The sequence below is a fragment of the Homo sapiens genome, chromosome 9, assembly GCF_000001405.40.
Source record: "Homo sapiens chromosome 9, GRCh38.p14 Primary Assembly".
Taxonomy (NCBI): Eukaryota; Metazoa; Chordata; class Mammalia; order Primates; family Hominidae; genus Homo; species Homo sapiens.
The window spans coordinates 62,798,833-62,814,024 of NC_000009.12; the positions used below are offsets into that span (position 1 = coordinate 62,798,833).

The window sequence follows — 15,192 nt, forward strand, 5'->3', positions numbered from 1 at the left end:
GAATTCCCCAGAGAGCAATGAGCCGAGACCCAGGTAGTTGTCTGTTTTTCATCCACATGGTTCACAGATGACATATCCCCACGTTGAGCCCTGCAACAGAGCTCGAGGCGGATAGTCCCATCCACACAGGAGTCACACTCAGGCCAACTGAAGCGTGATTCTGGATTCCACGTTTCTTTGCCCTCTGTAAAGGTGCCTGTTGCTCAAGTTTCTGCCCCCCGAAAGCGTGACCATGTTGACTGTTTCGCGAGCTCTGTGGGGCCCCAGAAACTTCCAGGAATGCGTGGAAGACCAGCATCGTGTCGGTGCTCTCCTTTCCAGTTTTCAAACAGGCTATATTGGAGACTCCCCATTTTGCAGGAAACAGGAATCCATCATCAGGCCGTGATGCACGGGATGTTTCTTTTCTCTGTGGTTTCGCTCTCGTTGTCTACGTGAAAACGAACGAGATGAACACAACTGCGTGTGTGAGACTATCACGGCAACTGTGACACCCAGGCGTTGGCAATAGAGTTGGCAGCCTGATCCTGGGACAAAGGTACTGATGGACATCCAGACACACCCCACCACAATCACTAGCAAACCCACTCCCAAACACACAGACACACACGGGCGCACGCGCGGGAACACAAGCACACACACAGACACACAAAGACACAGACAACTTGAAGGAGAGCAAGGGACAGAGGGATGAGAAATAGAAACGGAAGGAGAGAAACAGCGATGGAGAGAGAGACAGAGAGGAACTGGGGAGATTGAGAGAGAGAGAGAGAGAGAGAGCAAGGTGGAGAGGGAAGTAGAGAAAGGGAAAGGGTGAGGGAGCTAGAGAGGGAGAGCAACAGAGCCTTGGAGAGGGAGGCTCTATCTGGTAGACAGGGGCCCCTTTGGCCAGGGTAGGGTGGAGGGTGCCTGGGCTGGGCTGGAACATGGGGGCAGGGCCGCCCACGCGGGAAAACCAACGGAGCCCTGAGACGTGTTTTTACTTGGATTTGTTGGTTGCTTTGGGGGTGCTTTTCGTAGCGTCATTCCTTTGTTGGCTCCTCCCTGTCCTCTTGGTGCTGTGGGCCCTGAAAGTTGTAGAGTGCGCCCCTCACTGTGGCAGGAGCAGTGGCGCTGAGCGTGCCCACGGGCCGCGGCTTGGGTCTCTCTCATTTTCCAGGTGGTATGGCCGTGGACAATGGCAGTGGCGCCTGGCTGGCCCAAGAGCCCAGTCCAGCTACGCCTGCCTGATTCCAGGCGTCACCACCAACCCGGGGGCCGCGAGGCTGGGATCAGGCACCCCGGAGCCGCTTGCCTGTGGCCGGGCTGCTCTCCCCCTCTACGCCCAAGCACCACCATCGCCGCGCTGCGCTTTCCGCCGACCTCCCAGAGCGTCCCGATGTCGCCGGCGGCCAGACCATGCGCGAGACAGCCCAGGCGCCAGAGACCTCCATCCCCTGCCAGGGCTCTGGACTCTCCAGGCGGCCACCCTCTCGCTGGGACTCCAGGCCTTCCCCAGGCTCTTGAGCTCCCGAGCTTCCAACACCTGGGGCCCGCTTAGGACGGGGTGTGCTCCGAGGCGTCAGGGCCCAGGGCCCACGGTCCTGGGGTCCCCTCCGGTCCTCCGCCTTGCCGCGGAAAAATTATTTTGGATTCCTCACCGCCCCTCCTGCAAGGCCCCCTCTTGCCCCACACACCCAGAGCCGCCAGGGCTGCCCAGGGGCGAACAGCCGGCCCAGCCCCACAGGCCCTTTTTCTCACAATGCTCACACCATCGTCGCTTGTTCTGAGGAGGACCCGCCATGGCCAAAGGGGCAAGAAGGCTCTGCTTTGCCCCGCCCTGGCACTAGAGCCCCGGCAGCCTCATCCCGGGAAAGAGGGGCTGACGGACACCCAGACACACCCCACCACTACCACGAGCAAACCCACCCTGACACACCCACGGATACACACGGGTGCATGCGCGCAGACACACACACACACCACACCCGGGCACACACACACGGACACACAAAGACACAGACACAGATAGCTCAAAGGGAGACCTCCCCTCATATTGTCTTATGCCCAATTTCTGCCTCCAAAGAAAGAAGAAGTAAAATCTAAAAGGCAGAAATGAAATCCACAGGCAGACAGCCCCGCGCCACACCCTGGGCCTGGTAGTTAAAGATCGATCCCTGACCTACTCGGTTATGTTATCTATAGATTACAGACATTGTATAGAAAAGCACTGTGAAAATCCCTGTCCTGTTTTGTTCTGATCTAATTACCTGTGCATGCAGCCCCCAGTCACGTACCCTCTGCTTCCTCAATCCATCAAGACCCTCTCACGCGGACCCCCTTAGAGTTGTAAGCCCTTAAGAGGGACAGGAATTGCTCACTCGGAGAGCTTGGTTTTTGGAGACGTGAGTCTGCGGATGCTCCCAGCTGAATAAAGCCCTTCCTTCTACAACTCGGTGTCTGAGGGGTTCTGTCTGCAGCTCCTCCTGCTGCAGAAGGAGAGCAAGGGAGAGAGGGATGGAGAAATAGAACCAGAGGGAGAGAGAGAGACAGCGATAGAGAGAGAGAGAGAGAGACAGAAAAGGGGGGAGGAGAGAGAGAGGGGGGAAGAGAGAGCACCACAGTAGAGCGCGAGGTGGAGGGGGAAGTAGAGAAAGGGAGAGGGTGAGGGAGTTGTGGAGCGACAGCGACAGAGCCTTGGAGAGGGAGGCTCTGCTCAGGTAGACAGGGCACCTTTCAGCAGGCCGGGGTGTGGTGGAGGGTTCTTGGGCCGGGCTAGAACAGGGGGTCAGGGCCCCCCACCCAGGAAAACCAATGGAGCCCTGAGACTTGTTTTTTTCCTTGGATTGGTTGGTTGCTTTGGGGGTGCGTTTCATAAGGTCCTTCCTTTGTTTGCTTCTTTCTGTCTCCTTGATGCGGTGGGCCCCGAGATTTGTAGAGTGTGCTCGTGTGTCTGGCAGGAGCCGTGGCGCCGAGCCTGTCCACGGGGCGAGGCCTGGGTCTCTCTCCTGTCCTCCGGACTGGAGTTTACACGAAGTCGGTGGCATTGGGAAACAGGGTGCACAGGGACGGATTTCCTCGTGGCTGGCGAAGAAAATGTCCTTCCTCTGGGGAAAGCAGCCCTCGGGTTCTGGAGCGGAGGTCTTGGCTGGGGTCTGTGGCACCCGCTGCCCCTGCTCGCCCCTCCCACCGGCTTGGACGGTTGCAGTGACGCTGAATGAATGAATACAATTGCCTGGGAGTCCGGGGAGCGTGAAGAGACCCGGGACCTCAGGGAACCCGCGCCTGCACCCTCGGGGTCGGTCCCGTCCCGCCCGGGTTGGGTGGGGCTGCCGCGAGTCGGAAGAGGTGGGATGCTGCTGCCTGGCGGTGCTGCAGTGGCGGATCTTCAGGAGGAGGTCCTGGGCTTCGGCTGGGGCACGGGGGCGGTCAACGGGGAGCAGAGGCGGGGCGCAGTTGGGAAGCACGGAGACAAAAGGGGGAAAGAAGGAGGGAGCGGGAAGCCAAAAGCCTACGGTACCGCTATTACCAGGCGGAATCCCATCCAAGTACTAACCAGTCCCGACCCTGCTTAGCTTCAACAGATCAGAGGCGAGCCGGGCGCGTTCAGGGTGGTGTGGCCTAGACGCCAGCAGCGGCGCCTGGCTGCCCCAAGAGCCCGGCCCAGCCAAGCCCGCATGACTCCAGGCGTCATCGCCACCCCGGGGCCGCGGGTCTCGGATCCAGGACCCCCAGAGGCGCTCGCCCGTGCCCCCGGGCAGCTGTCTCCCTCTACACCCGAGGACCGCCGGCCTCCCAGAGAGTCCCGCCGTCTCCGGCGGCCAGGCCTGGCTCAGGACCAATGTGGCACCGCCCTGCTGTTGTTGGGGGGCGCCGCCGGAGGCCTCTGTCCCCTGCGCAGGCTTCCGGCTCTAGGGGCGGCCTCCTTTCCGCCCACGCTCCAGTCCTTCCGGGAGCTCCGGAGCTCCGGGGCTTCCACCACATCTGCCGGCTCAGGACGGGTCGTGCTCATCCCTTAACTTTTTAACTTTTTGTTGTTTCTATTTATATTTTATTGTGCTATGTCTTGAAATGTTGTTGTAGCTATTACTTTTGATTGGATATTACTTAGTATTCCTACTTTAAATAAGAGTAGTTTGCACACCACACAGCTATAGTGTTATAATATTCTGTTTTGTTTTGTATCCTATTAGCAGTGAGGATTTTTTTTTACCTTTAGGTGATCATTTATTACTCATTAATGTCCTTTTCTTCCTGATTGAAGTACTCCCTTTAGCATTCCTTTAGGACAGGTATGGTATTCATAAAATACTTCAGCTTTTGTTTGTCTGAAAAAGTCAGTATTCTTTTTTTTTGAAGAACATTTTCACTGTATATTCTATTCTAAGGTAAAAGTTTCTTTCCTTTAGTACTTTAAATATTTATTGCTTCTCTCTCCCGGCCAGTAGAGTTTCCACTGTAAAGTCTGCTGCCAGACATGTTGGAGCTCCCCAGTAGGTTATTTGTTTCTTTTCTCTTTCTTGCTTAAGAACTTTTATCTTTGACTTTTGGAAGACTATTGAATGCTTCGAAGTAGTGTTTTTTGGGTTAAATCTGCTTAATGTTCTATAACATTTTTGTAGTTGGATATGGATGTCTTTCTCTAGGTTTGGAAAGTTCTCTGTTATTATCCCTTTGAATAAATTTTTCTACCCCTGCCTCTTTCTCTACATCTTCTTTAAAACCAATAACTCTTAGATCTGTCTTTGTGAGGCTATTTTCTAGATCCTCCCCTGCCTCTTTCTTTACATCTTCTTTAAAACAAATAACTCTTAGATCTGTCTTTGTGAGGCTATTTTCTAGATCCTGTCGGCATGATTTGTTGTTTTTATTCTTTTTCTTTTGTCTCTTCTATGTATTTTCAAAGAGCCTGTCTTCAAGCTCACTATTTCTTCTGCTTGATCCATTCTGCTATTACATGGCTCTAATGCATTCTTCAGCATGCCAATTGCATTTTTCAGCTCAGAATGTCTGCTTAATTTACTGTAACTATTTCAATCTCTTTGTTGAGTTTAGCTGATAAAATTTGGAATTTCCTTACTTTGTTATCTTAAATTTCTTTCAGTTTTTTTTTTTTAAATACAGCTATTTTGAATTCTCTGTCTGAAACATCACATATCTCTTTTTCTCCAGGATTTGTCCCCAGTGCCTTATTTAGTTCACTTGGTGAGGTCATGTTTTCCTGGATGGTGTTGATGCTAGTAGATGTTCTTCAGTGTCTGGACATTAAAATCTTGGGCATGCAGCACCATATGAGAAGTTTAAAAAATAAAATTTAAAGAGAGAAAAGGTGAGTATTTATTGTAGTCTTCACTGTCTGGGATTATTTGTAGCTATCTTTCTTGGGAAGGCTTTTCACATATTTGAAAAGAGTTGGGTGTTGTGATCTAAGCCATATCTGCTTTATGGAGCACCTTATACCCAATAATGCTGTAATTCTTCCAGACTCAGAGAAGTACCACCTTGACAGCCTTCAACAAGATCCAGGAGAATTTTCTGGATTACTAGCCACAGACTCTTTCCCTACCCTTATTTTCTCTCAAAGATACAGAGTCTTTCTCTCTGTTCTAAGCCACCTAAAGCTGGGAGAAGAAAGACACAAGCACCTCTGGCCACCACCACTATGACTGCCCTGGATCAGACCTGAAGCTAGCACAGCACAGGTCTTGCTCAAGTCCTGCTGCATGCAATTTCTGACGACTCCCTATGTTCACTCAAGGCCTTTGGTCTCTACAATTAGCAGGTGGCAAAGCCAGACAGGCCTGTGTTCTTTCCTTTAGGGCAGTGAGATCCCTCAGTCCCTGGCTGGGTCCAGAAGTGCTATTCAGAAGTCAGGGCTTTGGCCACTTTTTAATAGGGTTTTTTGTTTTTCTCTTGTAAATTTAAGTTCCTCATATTGAATATTAGATCTTTGTCAGATACATAGTTTGTAAATATTTTTTCCTCATTCTATAGGTTGTTCACTCTATTGATAATTTCTTTTGCTGAGCAGAAGCTTTTAAGTTTAATTAGATCCCACTTGTCAATAGTTGTATTTGTTGTTTTTGGTGTCTTTATCATGAAATCTTTGCCTCTTTCTATGTCCAGGATGGTATTGTCTAGGTTGTCTTCCAGAGCTTTTATAGTTTTGGGTTTTACATTTAAGTATTTAATCCACCTTGAGTTGATTTTTGTATATGGTATAAGGAAGAAGTCCAACTTCAATCTTCTGCATATGGCTAGCCAGTTATCCCAGCACCATTTATTGAATAGGGAATCTTTTCCCCATTGATTGTTTTTGCCAGCTTTGTGAAAGATTACCTAGTTGTAGGTATGTGGTCTTACTTCTAACCTCTCTATTCTGTTCCACTGGTGTATGTGTCTGTTTTTGTACTAGTACCATGCTGTTTTGGTTACTATGGTGCTGTAGGTTAGTTTGAAGTCGGGTAATGTGATGCCTCAAGCTTTGTTCTTTTTGCTTAGGATTGCCTTGGCTACTTAGGTTCTTTCTTGGTTCTATATGAATTTTTAAATAGCTTTTTTCTACTTCTGTGAAGCATGTCATTGGTAGTTTAATAGGAATAGCTTTGGACAGTACAACCATTTAAATGATATTAATTCTTTCTCTCCATTAAGATGGAATGATTTTTCATTTATTTGTGTCTTCTCTGACTTCTTTGAGCAGTGTTTTGTAATTTTCATTGTAGAGATTTTTCACCTCCCTGGTTAGCTGTATTTGTATGTACTTTATTCTTTTTGTGGAAATTGTGAATAAAATTGCCTCTCTGATTTGGCTCTTAGTTTGGCTCTTCTTGGTGTATAGGAATGCTAGCAAATTTCGTACATTGATTTTGTGTCCTGAAACTTTGTGGAAGTTGTTTATCAGCTTAAGGAGTTTTGGGTCACAACTATAGGGTTTAGATACAGAATTATGTTGTCTGCAAACAGAGGTAGTTGGACTTCTCTTTCTATTTAAATACGCTTTATTTCTTTCTCTTGTCTGATTGCTCCAGAAAGGACTTCTAATACTATGTTGAATAGGAGTGGTGAGAGAGGGCATGCTTGTCTTGTGCGGGTTTCAAGGAGGATGCTTCAAGATTTTGCCCATTTAGTATAATGTTGGCTGTGAGTTTGTCATAGGTGGCCTTTATTATTTTGAGGTATGTTCCTTTGATACCTCATTTATTGAGAATTTTTAACTTGAAGCTTTGTTGAATTTTACTGAAAGTCTTTTCTGCATCTGTTGAGACAATCACGTGGTTATTATCTTTAGTTTTATTTATGTTATGAATCACATTTTATTGATTTGCCCATGATGGACCACCCTTCTATTCCAGGGAAGAAGCTTATTTCACTATGGTGAATTAGCCTTTTGATGTGTTGCTAGATTCAGTTTGCAAGTATTTTGTTGTGGATCATTGAATGGATGTTCATCAAGGATACTGGCCTGAAGTTTTCTTTTTTTGTTTTGTCACTGCCAGGCTTTGGTATCAGGATGATTCTGGCCTCATAGAACAAGATGGGGAAGAGTCCCTCCTCCTCTATTTCTTGAAATAGTTTCAGTAGGACTGGTACTGGCTCTTCTTTGTACATCTGTTAAAATTTGTTAATCTATCAGGTCCTGGGCTTTTTGGGGGTTGGTAGGCTATTTATTACGGATTCAATTTTTGGAGCTCATAATTGGTCTGCTCAGAGACTGAATTTCTTCCTGGTTCAGTCTTGAGAGAGTATATGTGTCCAGGAATTTATTAATCTCTTCTAGGGTTTCTAGTTTGTGTGTATAGAGGTGCTCGTAGTAGTTACTGGTTGTTATTTTTTTTTCTCTGGGGTCAGTGGTAACATTCCCTTCATCATTTCTAATTTTCTTTATTTGAATCTTCTCTCATCTTCTTTATTAATCTAGCTAGTGCCCTATCTTAGTAATTTTTTCAAAAAACCTTGATTAAGTGATCTTTTGAACAGTTTTTCATGTCTCAATTTCTTTCAATTCAGCTCTGATTTTAGTTATTTCTTGTCTTCTATAAGCTTTGTGGTTGAGTTCTCCTTGCTTCTCTAATTCTTTCAGTTGTGATGTTAGGTTGTTAATTTGAGATATTTCTAATTTTTTGATATGGGCATTACTTCTTATGCCCTACTCTAAATTTTGTTCTTCTAGAAAACTCAGAACTATGCTTTCTAAACCAATTCAAACTTTCTCAGTGAATCAACCTGGACTCCCTGAGGCCAAGTTAGCAATTTTCCATTACACTTGGTTCTCTTTCTCTGTAAGAATATCTAATGCAACAATTCAAGTGTTTCTTTCCCTCCTGGTAATGCGGGGAACTCCTTTTGGCTGAGACCAAGACTTAAAACCTTGTTCTTTCAACATTAATGAAGATCTATTTAGAAAGCCTCCATTTTTGCAGAAAAGATATATAAACACCAATGAAAATCAATATGAAATTATATGACATACAATTATATTGTGGAAAGACTGAATAAATAAGTGAACTAAGCTCTAAGAAAAAAAGATGATGATATAAAATGATATAGAAGTAAAAACCTGGGCTGGTATAGCATAATTAATGTATCAGTAAAGTATGTACATTGTAGAAGTGGCAGGAAGACAGCATAGAGAGTGAGACCTGACCAAAAGCTTTAAGGAAAGTTCTATACCCTTAAACGAGATTAAAGTGGACTCAGGAAAACATGGGCCACATGAGGGGAAGGACACATGTTCCAGATGAGCCAAAGCTCAGAGCATCTCTACCTTCTCCAGGAGGAAAGGGGAGGCAAAGCAGCAGGCAGAAGACAGCACGGCCAGGTCAGCACAGGGCACCCAGGCCAAGCCAGGTGGGCTCCATCATACAGGTAGTGAGGAGTCACTGCCAGGTGGGCTTTATTCATTAGTTTGTTTTGTTTCTTTTAGTAACGAAGACACATGATCAAAGTTGACCTTTGTAAGTGTTGCTGCAGCTGAACAAAAAGATGGATAAGACCAGTGTTTTAAAAATTATGTTGTATAGAGCACTAGCCTCAGTGAGATATTAGTAGAACACACAGGCACACACACACACACACACACTCACACTAAGCCCAGATTATTCTGGCAAATGCTGGGTTAAGCAAACTAAAAGAAACATCTTTAGTGCTGGACTTCTCAGAACCTGGAATGTCGCTATATGACTCATAAAACAGCAAGGTTAAGACAGAACATGTCATTTTTTCCCAGAAATGCTGAAACACTTTCCTTCCCTTGGCTTCAGTGTCACCTTCTTTCTCCTGGTTCTCCATCAACCTCTTTGGCTGATCCTTCTTGATTTCCTTCTTGACAATCTGCTGCTGCTCAGCCATTCTCTTTTCATTCCCCATGGATTTCTCAAGTGCGTTTCTATTCCTGCATTTTAAACTTTCCTTGTTTTTCCTGACACCTCTCCTTGTCTGACTCACCCCTGTTCTAAGGCAGGTGTTCCATCTGTGTGCGCTTTTGGCACCCTGGGATGCTCCCAGCATGTTCCCTGCCACACTCCATCAGGTTTTCTCCGCAGACTCTGTGAGGGCAGCAGCCTTGTCTCCACCATTCCTTCAATGCTCAGCACATAACACAGAAGCTGACTCCATAACATTTAGTTGGCCAACTGAGACTAAATATATGTTCCTCTAGATCTTAAAAAGTTACAGAAACATAGCACAATAGACAAAATATTCTCTTTAGTCAGGAGTTCTCTATATATGTACAACAGTTTGAAGTCATTATTAAAGCAAAGTGAAAGAGAAACTGTCACAGAATTCCCCAAGATAAATTATTTTGCTTTAGTCTTCATCATGTGAGATAATCAAGACCATGTGTTATTGTAAATATTTCTAGCTTACAACACAACGACCTGATTTTTATTGTGTGAAATAACCGCAATATAAATCAGTTAATTAAAAATTGCATAAATAATCCTTTCAAATAAAATTCTGCCTAAATTTTACATTACTCATATGTTCAAATGATAATGAGCTCATAGGCTTTTCCAATACCTCAGTCAAAACACTGTACTGATTCCAGCTGTGGGAATAGTATCTGAAAGTTATTTTACAGATGGGGAACAGGTACTTACCTGACATTGGCCTTTACACTACTGTGCCCTTTTAGGTCAGGAAAAAGCTGTTCCCTTAAAATCCTAAAATCTCTTCTGTCAGGTCTGAAGGGTGGGTGGGAAACACAGTTTTACAAATTTTAGCCACAGATGTTTTATTCCTTGCTTAAAGCAGTGACTAGATAAAGGCCACTAGAAGAGTCTCCAATGTTTCTTTAGAAGCGTGTGCCTGAGAACATCTTCCAGAAACACTCCCTTGTCTCTGCCCAAAATCACCTTAGGTAGGAAAATCAAAACTCAGCAGGCTGAGGGATCCAAGGGGATCACTGAGCTCTGAGTCTTATGAGAGAAGAGAGAGAGGTCTAAGACTTTTTGTGTATAAATTTATGGGTTCCAAGTGTAATTTTGCTGTAAGCATGGATGGCATAGTGGTGAAGTCAGGGCTTTTAGGTATCCATCACCAGAATAATGCACATTGTACCCATTAAGTAATTTCTCACTGTTCACCCCTTCCATCCCCTCACCCTGCTGAGTCTCCATTATCATTCCACTCTCTACGTCAATATCTACACATCTTTTAGCACCCGCTTATGAGTGATACAATATGATGTTTACTCTGTGTCTGGCTTGCTTCACTTACAACAATGGCCTCCAGTTCCATCCATGTGTCTGCAAAAGTTATAATTCTATTGTTTTTTATGCCTGAATGGTATTTCATTGTGTATATTTTCTACATTTTCTTTCTCCAATCATTTGTTGATGGGTATTTAGTTTCATTTTATGTCTGTGCTACTGTGAATAGTGTTGCAACAAATACACAAGTACAGTTATCTTTCTGATACATTGATTTCTTTTCCTTTGCATAAATACTCAGTGGTGGGATTGCTGAATCAGACAGAGCCAATAGATGATCAGTAATGGTGGCCAATCATCAGCTAGAAAGAAAGTGCTTAGCAGGGCTTGAAAACACCAAAACTCTGAGACCACTGACCTTCAAAAACTTCAACAGCCCTGAGTGAAAAGTCCAAACACATTTATCTACCATTCGAAGACGCTTTATTGTCTGTCCTCTGCACATCTCAGTAGTCTCTTTTTACCACACTGTCTATATACTGCATGAGCCATTTATATGAAACTATCTGACACTCCAAGGCATCTTGTACTATATATTCAACTATGTATCCCTAGTACCTAGCACAGTCCTGGCATATAGTTTGCTACTAAACTTTTACAGAATGAAGGAATTATCTTGTATCCAGGTTCCAAGTTTTAAGGTGATTCTTCAGTAAAAAAAAGTATTACAGTTCACAAATAATCTACTTCCCTTTTTACAAATGGGATCAATTTTAATCTTATCTCCTAATAACATTACTTTCATTTACTCTGATCTAAATATACTGTCCTAAGAGAGCAATAAGAAAGAGAGTTGAAGCTGGAGTTTGAAGAATTGTACATGGTCCTGTGATACCCTACCTTGTTTTAACCTGAGTGACTCTCTCCTAGCGGAGAGAGAGCCGGACAGACTCCATTTTAGTTTCTTCACGTGCAGCCCCCTTTACCTTCCACCCTTAATTGCATAACTAGTGTAAACTGACTCAAAGCAGGTCCAGGAATGCACTTAGTGATAAGATATTGAGGCAAGCTGCACCAGCTGCTCCTGGGTACGCACTCGGTGAATGTCACGCAAAACCCCTGCATTTCTCTCTTTGTGATAGTTTAAGCCCCTGCACCTGGAACTGTTTATTTGTTTTGTAACTGCTATTGTAACCAATTAATATTTTAACTATTTGCCAGCTCTGCTTCTGTAAAACTTGTTTCAGCTAAACTCCCCCCTCCCCTATTTAGACCACGGTATAAAAACAAAACCAGCCCCTTCCTCGGGGCCAAGAGAATTTTGAGCATTACATGCCTCTCGGTTACCGGCTAATAAAGGACTCCTTAATTTGTCTCAAAGTGTGGCATTCCTCTATAACTCGCTTGGTTACAACAGTCCACACTGTGGCCTGAGGTGCATTGCCCACCTGAGCTTCATCTGTTATGTATGTCAGGGAATATAAGCAGGGTGAGAGTGGCCTCATCAGAGGACCCCAGATCTCTGGCTTACCCATCTGGCAAGTGCACCTCTGTGAGCAAAGACTTCAGAGCCAGGTGACAAGAATGGCCCAAGCAGTCCACCAGGAAAACCTGGGCCCAGTGTACGTCAATGCAGAGCATCAAGCATGGTGTAACAGGTGCACAGTTGCCTACTCCTGTTCAGAGATGACTGCATCCCACATACCGTAAAATGAGGAAATGCATAGAAGCAGATGTAACTGAAGAAGACAGCAGAAGCAACAAGGAGGGACAACCAGGACCTAGGAGGGCACCATGCCAGAGACGCCTGGACCCCATGCTAGGCTCAGTGCCTGTTATACTCTTGGGAGCCAGCACTTTCCCTCTCCATCACATGGCATACTTGCCATTATTTGTTGTGTAAAATATTGTCCTTAGTTTTCACCTTTCCTAGGAGACACAGGCAGAGCCTGTGACACTACAGCTTCTGGCACACAGTAGGTAGGTGCATCACAAACATCTGCTGAGTTCACACACTCTTGCCTTCTCAAAACTTCTTGTCAAGTCTTCAGTGAAAAGGAATTGCTGATTGAGCAAGAATTAAACTTCTAGAGACTCCTGGATCCACTGAAGTTTGAGACAAGGTGAGATTTGTTTACTGTCATATTCCTAGCTCATAACATATTGTAGTCACTTAAAAAAGTTTGTTGAATAAGTGAGTAAATTGATTCATACGTCATACTTAGCTATATATTTTCTGAGTAGAATTGATAAAGTTAATAGTTTAAGTCTAGTATAATTTTGCTTTACTCATTCAATGAACCTGACAATTCAAATAGGTGCCAGGCACACTGCTGCTGAAGAAAAAGAGGTATAAGATATAATTTCTGTCTACAAGAAAGCCACAGTCTAAAAAGTAGAAACATATGAACAAATCGTAACAATAAATAGGCTAAATTCAAAATCAGAGGAGTTTGTTTCTATTTTAAACAGCTCTAGTCAGGAAGTGTTAGAGAGTTCTAAACAGGAAATATTCCAACACATCATCTAAGCATGAAGCAGGAGACACCCATAATTGAGTTTGCTGCCACCAACCCCAACAGCAAGAATTCCAGTCCTGCTGCTGCAAAGTAAGTGTCACTCTGATTTTATTGCTGCTGTGTAACCCAGTTTTAGACTCTCTGGTTCTCACTTAATGTTCTAAAAAAGTATTAAAGAGAAAATTTTATTCTGGTGATGAGCCCATCCACTGCAGCCATCTCAACATCATACCAATTATAAGCCTATCATTTAAAAAGAAAGCTGTTAGTTTAACTTATTTATCCAAATATCAGTATTACATAAACATATTTGTCATCAGACTTTGGACTTATGGGTTAAATAGCATATAAATATGATTAGAGCCTTAAAGTTTACACTTCTCTGGTTCGCTCAAATTTTTTTCAAAATAGCATATGCCTTTCTAAACAATGGTTAGTATATTTTTCAAAATGAACATTAAAATGTATATTTTCCAAAAACAAAATACAGCTCCCATTGGTAAATGATGCTATTGAGACACAACAGACAACTTCTCTTGGGAACCATTTAATCAGTGCTCACTTTTGCACTCTTTCCAGAAATGTCAATGGTTTTGAAATATAGAAGTATATTATACAAATAAACTTATACTTATTCAGTATTGTGCAATATTTAGTATTTCTTCTAGCCATCTCTTGCTGAATAGTAAGCCATTCCAAAACTTACGGAATTATTTATTGTTTAATATTGTTTATTGTTATTATTTGTTTAGTAATTTTAATAACGTTATTTCTCATGGTTTTGTGGGTTGATGGGCACTACAAAAGTTCTCTTTTGGAGTCTTTCTTGCAGTTGCGGTTGGTTGGCTGCTGCTGAAGTCACCTGAAAGCTCAATTAGGCTAAAGAGTCTAAACGGGTCACTTACATGGCTGGCAGTGCATATTGGCTGCTGAGTGTGATGCCTATCTGACCTCTCCATGTTACCTGGAGTGCTCACAACGTGGTAGTTTGTCCCAAGACACACAGGCAAATACTACAAAGCTTCTTAGGGCCTAGCCTTGGAGGTCCTAGAATACGACTTCTGCTGCATCCTATTGGAAAAGCAAGTCATTGTGACCAGCACAGATTCAAGAAATGGGAGATTCGACTCTACCTGTCAATGTAAACAGCAGCATGTGCATGCAGGGAGGAAAGAAATTGAGGGCATCATCTTGAAGACTATCATATCACACCATTATTCCAACTAGTGAACATTATGTTTTAGATGGGTAGTACTAGCTACTCATCTGTCCCCCAGAAACCCAAGCTAAGCATGGACATATTGAAGAGAATGTCAACACCATTAAAAAAACTCTAGAAAAATCACATGTGATGACTGAGGTTAATTCAGTCTGTCAACTACATCAATATAATTGCCTTCTTGTAACCCTAAGTATGGTGAAGCAGAATTGAATTCTACAAAAGTCTTTCATCTGTTTTCCTATGGAATAATTAACAAACCCAATAAATGTATAAATAGCATGAAGTCCGACTTATTTTAGATTTTTACCTCATAATTTCAAAGCTTATAGAAATCCAGAGAACTAATCATCATAATCCATAATGCCTGGACCAGAAGTCCTTGTTCTAAGAGTATCTTGTGGCATGCTAAAAATGTATTACTAACTAGGAAATTTAAAACTTTTTTGTTAGTGGTTTTAAGAGAGCTGACTAGCTCATCACCACAATTCACACAGATTAAGAAAGGAGGTTACTCTGTGGAGTGGATTCATAGTGATCAGAAAAAAAAAATCACAAAAGAGGAAAGGAGATAGGGAAGGGGAAAGATACTGTCAATCTCTACAATTAAAGTGATTTTTCGAATGGTTTGATTTTGTATTTGCAAAGGAAAGGCAGCTTAATGTGATAGAATAAGAATCCCACTTCTGTATCTTTTTTTTTTTTTTTTTTTTTTTGAGACGGAGTCTCGCTCTGTCGCCCAGGCTGGAGTGCAGTGGTGCAATCTTGGCTCACTGCAAGCTCTGCCTCCCGGGTAGATGCCATTCTCCTGCCTCAGCCT

The 15,192-nt window shown here is 43.8% G+C and overlaps 1 protein-coding gene, 1 long non-coding RNA gene and 1 pseudogene across 2 annotated transcripts, besides 10 other annotated features; 1 reads left to right on the plus strand and 2 right to left on the minus strand.

The window, feature by feature from the left end:
• Positions 269-408: an enhancer, noted in NCBI's record as "active region_28431". NCBI's record gives its function as "activates an Ori minimal core promoter by ATAC-STARR-seq in GM12878 lymphoblastoid cells {active_cell/tissue: GM12878}" and the evidence as "EXISTENCE:reporter gene assay evidence [ECO:0000049][PMID:35858748]".
• Positions 836-1,582: an enhancer, noted in NCBI's record as "H3K27ac-H3K4me1 hESC enhancer chr9:66455492-66456238 (GRCh37/hg19 assembly coordinates)". NCBI's record gives its function as "activates a minimal SCP1, AML or CMV promoter by ChIP-STARR-seq in naive and primed H9 embryonic stem cells {active_cell/tissue: H9 hESC(naive and primed)}" and the evidence as "EXISTENCE:reporter gene assay evidence [ECO:0000049][PMID:30033119]".
• Positions 959-1,128: an enhancer, noted in NCBI's record as "active region_28432". NCBI's record gives its function as "activates an Ori minimal core promoter by ATAC-STARR-seq in GM12878 lymphoblastoid cells {active_cell/tissue: GM12878}" and the evidence as "EXISTENCE:reporter gene assay evidence [ECO:0000049][PMID:35858748]".
• Positions 1,359-1,438: an enhancer, noted in NCBI's record as "active region_28433". NCBI's record gives its function as "activates an Ori minimal core promoter by ATAC-STARR-seq in GM12878 lymphoblastoid cells {active_cell/tissue: GM12878}" and the evidence as "EXISTENCE:reporter gene assay evidence [ECO:0000049][PMID:35858748]".
• Positions 1,583-2,328: an enhancer, noted in NCBI's record as "H3K27ac-H3K4me1 hESC enhancer chr9:66456239-66456984 (GRCh37/hg19 assembly coordinates)". NCBI's record gives its function as "activates a minimal SCP1, AML or CMV promoter by ChIP-STARR-seq in naive and primed H9 embryonic stem cells {active_cell/tissue: H9 hESC(naive and primed)}" and the evidence as "EXISTENCE:reporter gene assay evidence [ECO:0000049][PMID:30033119]".
• On the minus strand, positions 2,009-3,528 carry LOC107987020 (uncharacterized). Its single transcript, XM_047424300.1, has one exon. It carries the CDS (start codon positions 3,024-3,026, stop codon positions 2,337-2,339), a length of 690 nt encoding a protein of 229 aa, XP_047280256.1. The 5' UTR covers positions 3,027-3,528; the 3' UTR covers positions 2,009-2,336.
• Positions 2,387-3,266: an enhancer, noted in NCBI's record as "H3K27ac-H3K4me1 hESC enhancer chr9:66457043-66457922 (GRCh37/hg19 assembly coordinates)". NCBI's record gives its function as "activates a minimal SCP1, AML or CMV promoter by ChIP-STARR-seq in naive and primed H9 embryonic stem cells {active_cell/tissue: H9 hESC(naive and primed)}" and the evidence as "EXISTENCE:reporter gene assay evidence [ECO:0000049][PMID:30033119]".
• LINC01410 (long intergenic non-protein coding RNA 1410) lies at positions 2,633-14,654 on the plus strand. The gene is made up of 5 exons (NR_121647.1): positions 2,633-2,699; positions 5,152-5,308; positions 10,936-12,757; positions 13,107-13,243; positions 13,961-14,654. It is a non-coding gene; the product is annotated as a long intergenic non-protein coding RNA 1410 (long non-coding RNA).
• Positions 2,849-3,198: an enhancer, noted in NCBI's record as "active region_28434". NCBI's record gives its function as "activates an Ori minimal core promoter by ATAC-STARR-seq in GM12878 lymphoblastoid cells {active_cell/tissue: GM12878}" and the evidence as "EXISTENCE:reporter gene assay evidence [ECO:0000049][PMID:35858748]".
• Positions 3,267-4,144: an enhancer, noted in NCBI's record as "H3K27ac-H3K4me1 hESC enhancer chr9:66457923-66458800 (GRCh37/hg19 assembly coordinates)". NCBI's record gives its function as "activates a minimal SCP1, AML or CMV promoter by ChIP-STARR-seq in naive H9 embryonic stem cells {active_cell/tissue: H9 hESC(naive)}" and the evidence as "EXISTENCE:reporter gene assay evidence [ECO:0000049][PMID:30033119]".
• Positions 3,488-3,606, minus strand: RNA5SP283 (RNA, 5S ribosomal pseudogene 283; annotated as a pseudogene).
• Positions 3,519-3,748: a silencer, noted in NCBI's record as "silent region_19923". NCBI's record gives its function as "represses an Ori minimal core promoter by ATAC-STARR-seq in GM12878 lymphoblastoid cells {active_cell/tissue: GM12878}" and the evidence as "EXISTENCE:reporter gene assay evidence [ECO:0000049][PMID:35858748]".
• Positions 10,158-10,765: an enhancer, noted in NCBI's record as "OCT4 hESC enhancer chr9:66464814-66465421 (GRCh37/hg19 assembly coordinates)". NCBI's record gives its function as "activates a minimal SCP1, AML or CMV promoter by ChIP-STARR-seq in primed H9 embryonic stem cells {active_cell/tissue: H9 hESC(primed)}" and the evidence as "EXISTENCE:reporter gene assay evidence [ECO:0000049][PMID:30033119]".
• Positions 14,655-15,192: the final 538 nt, after the last annotated feature.

Coding starts and splice junctions, on each gene's coding strand:
- LOC107987020 (XM_047424300.1), bottom strand. CDS start 3,026: ATGCCACCGACTTCGTGTAAACTCCAGTCCGGAGGACAGGAGAGAGAC.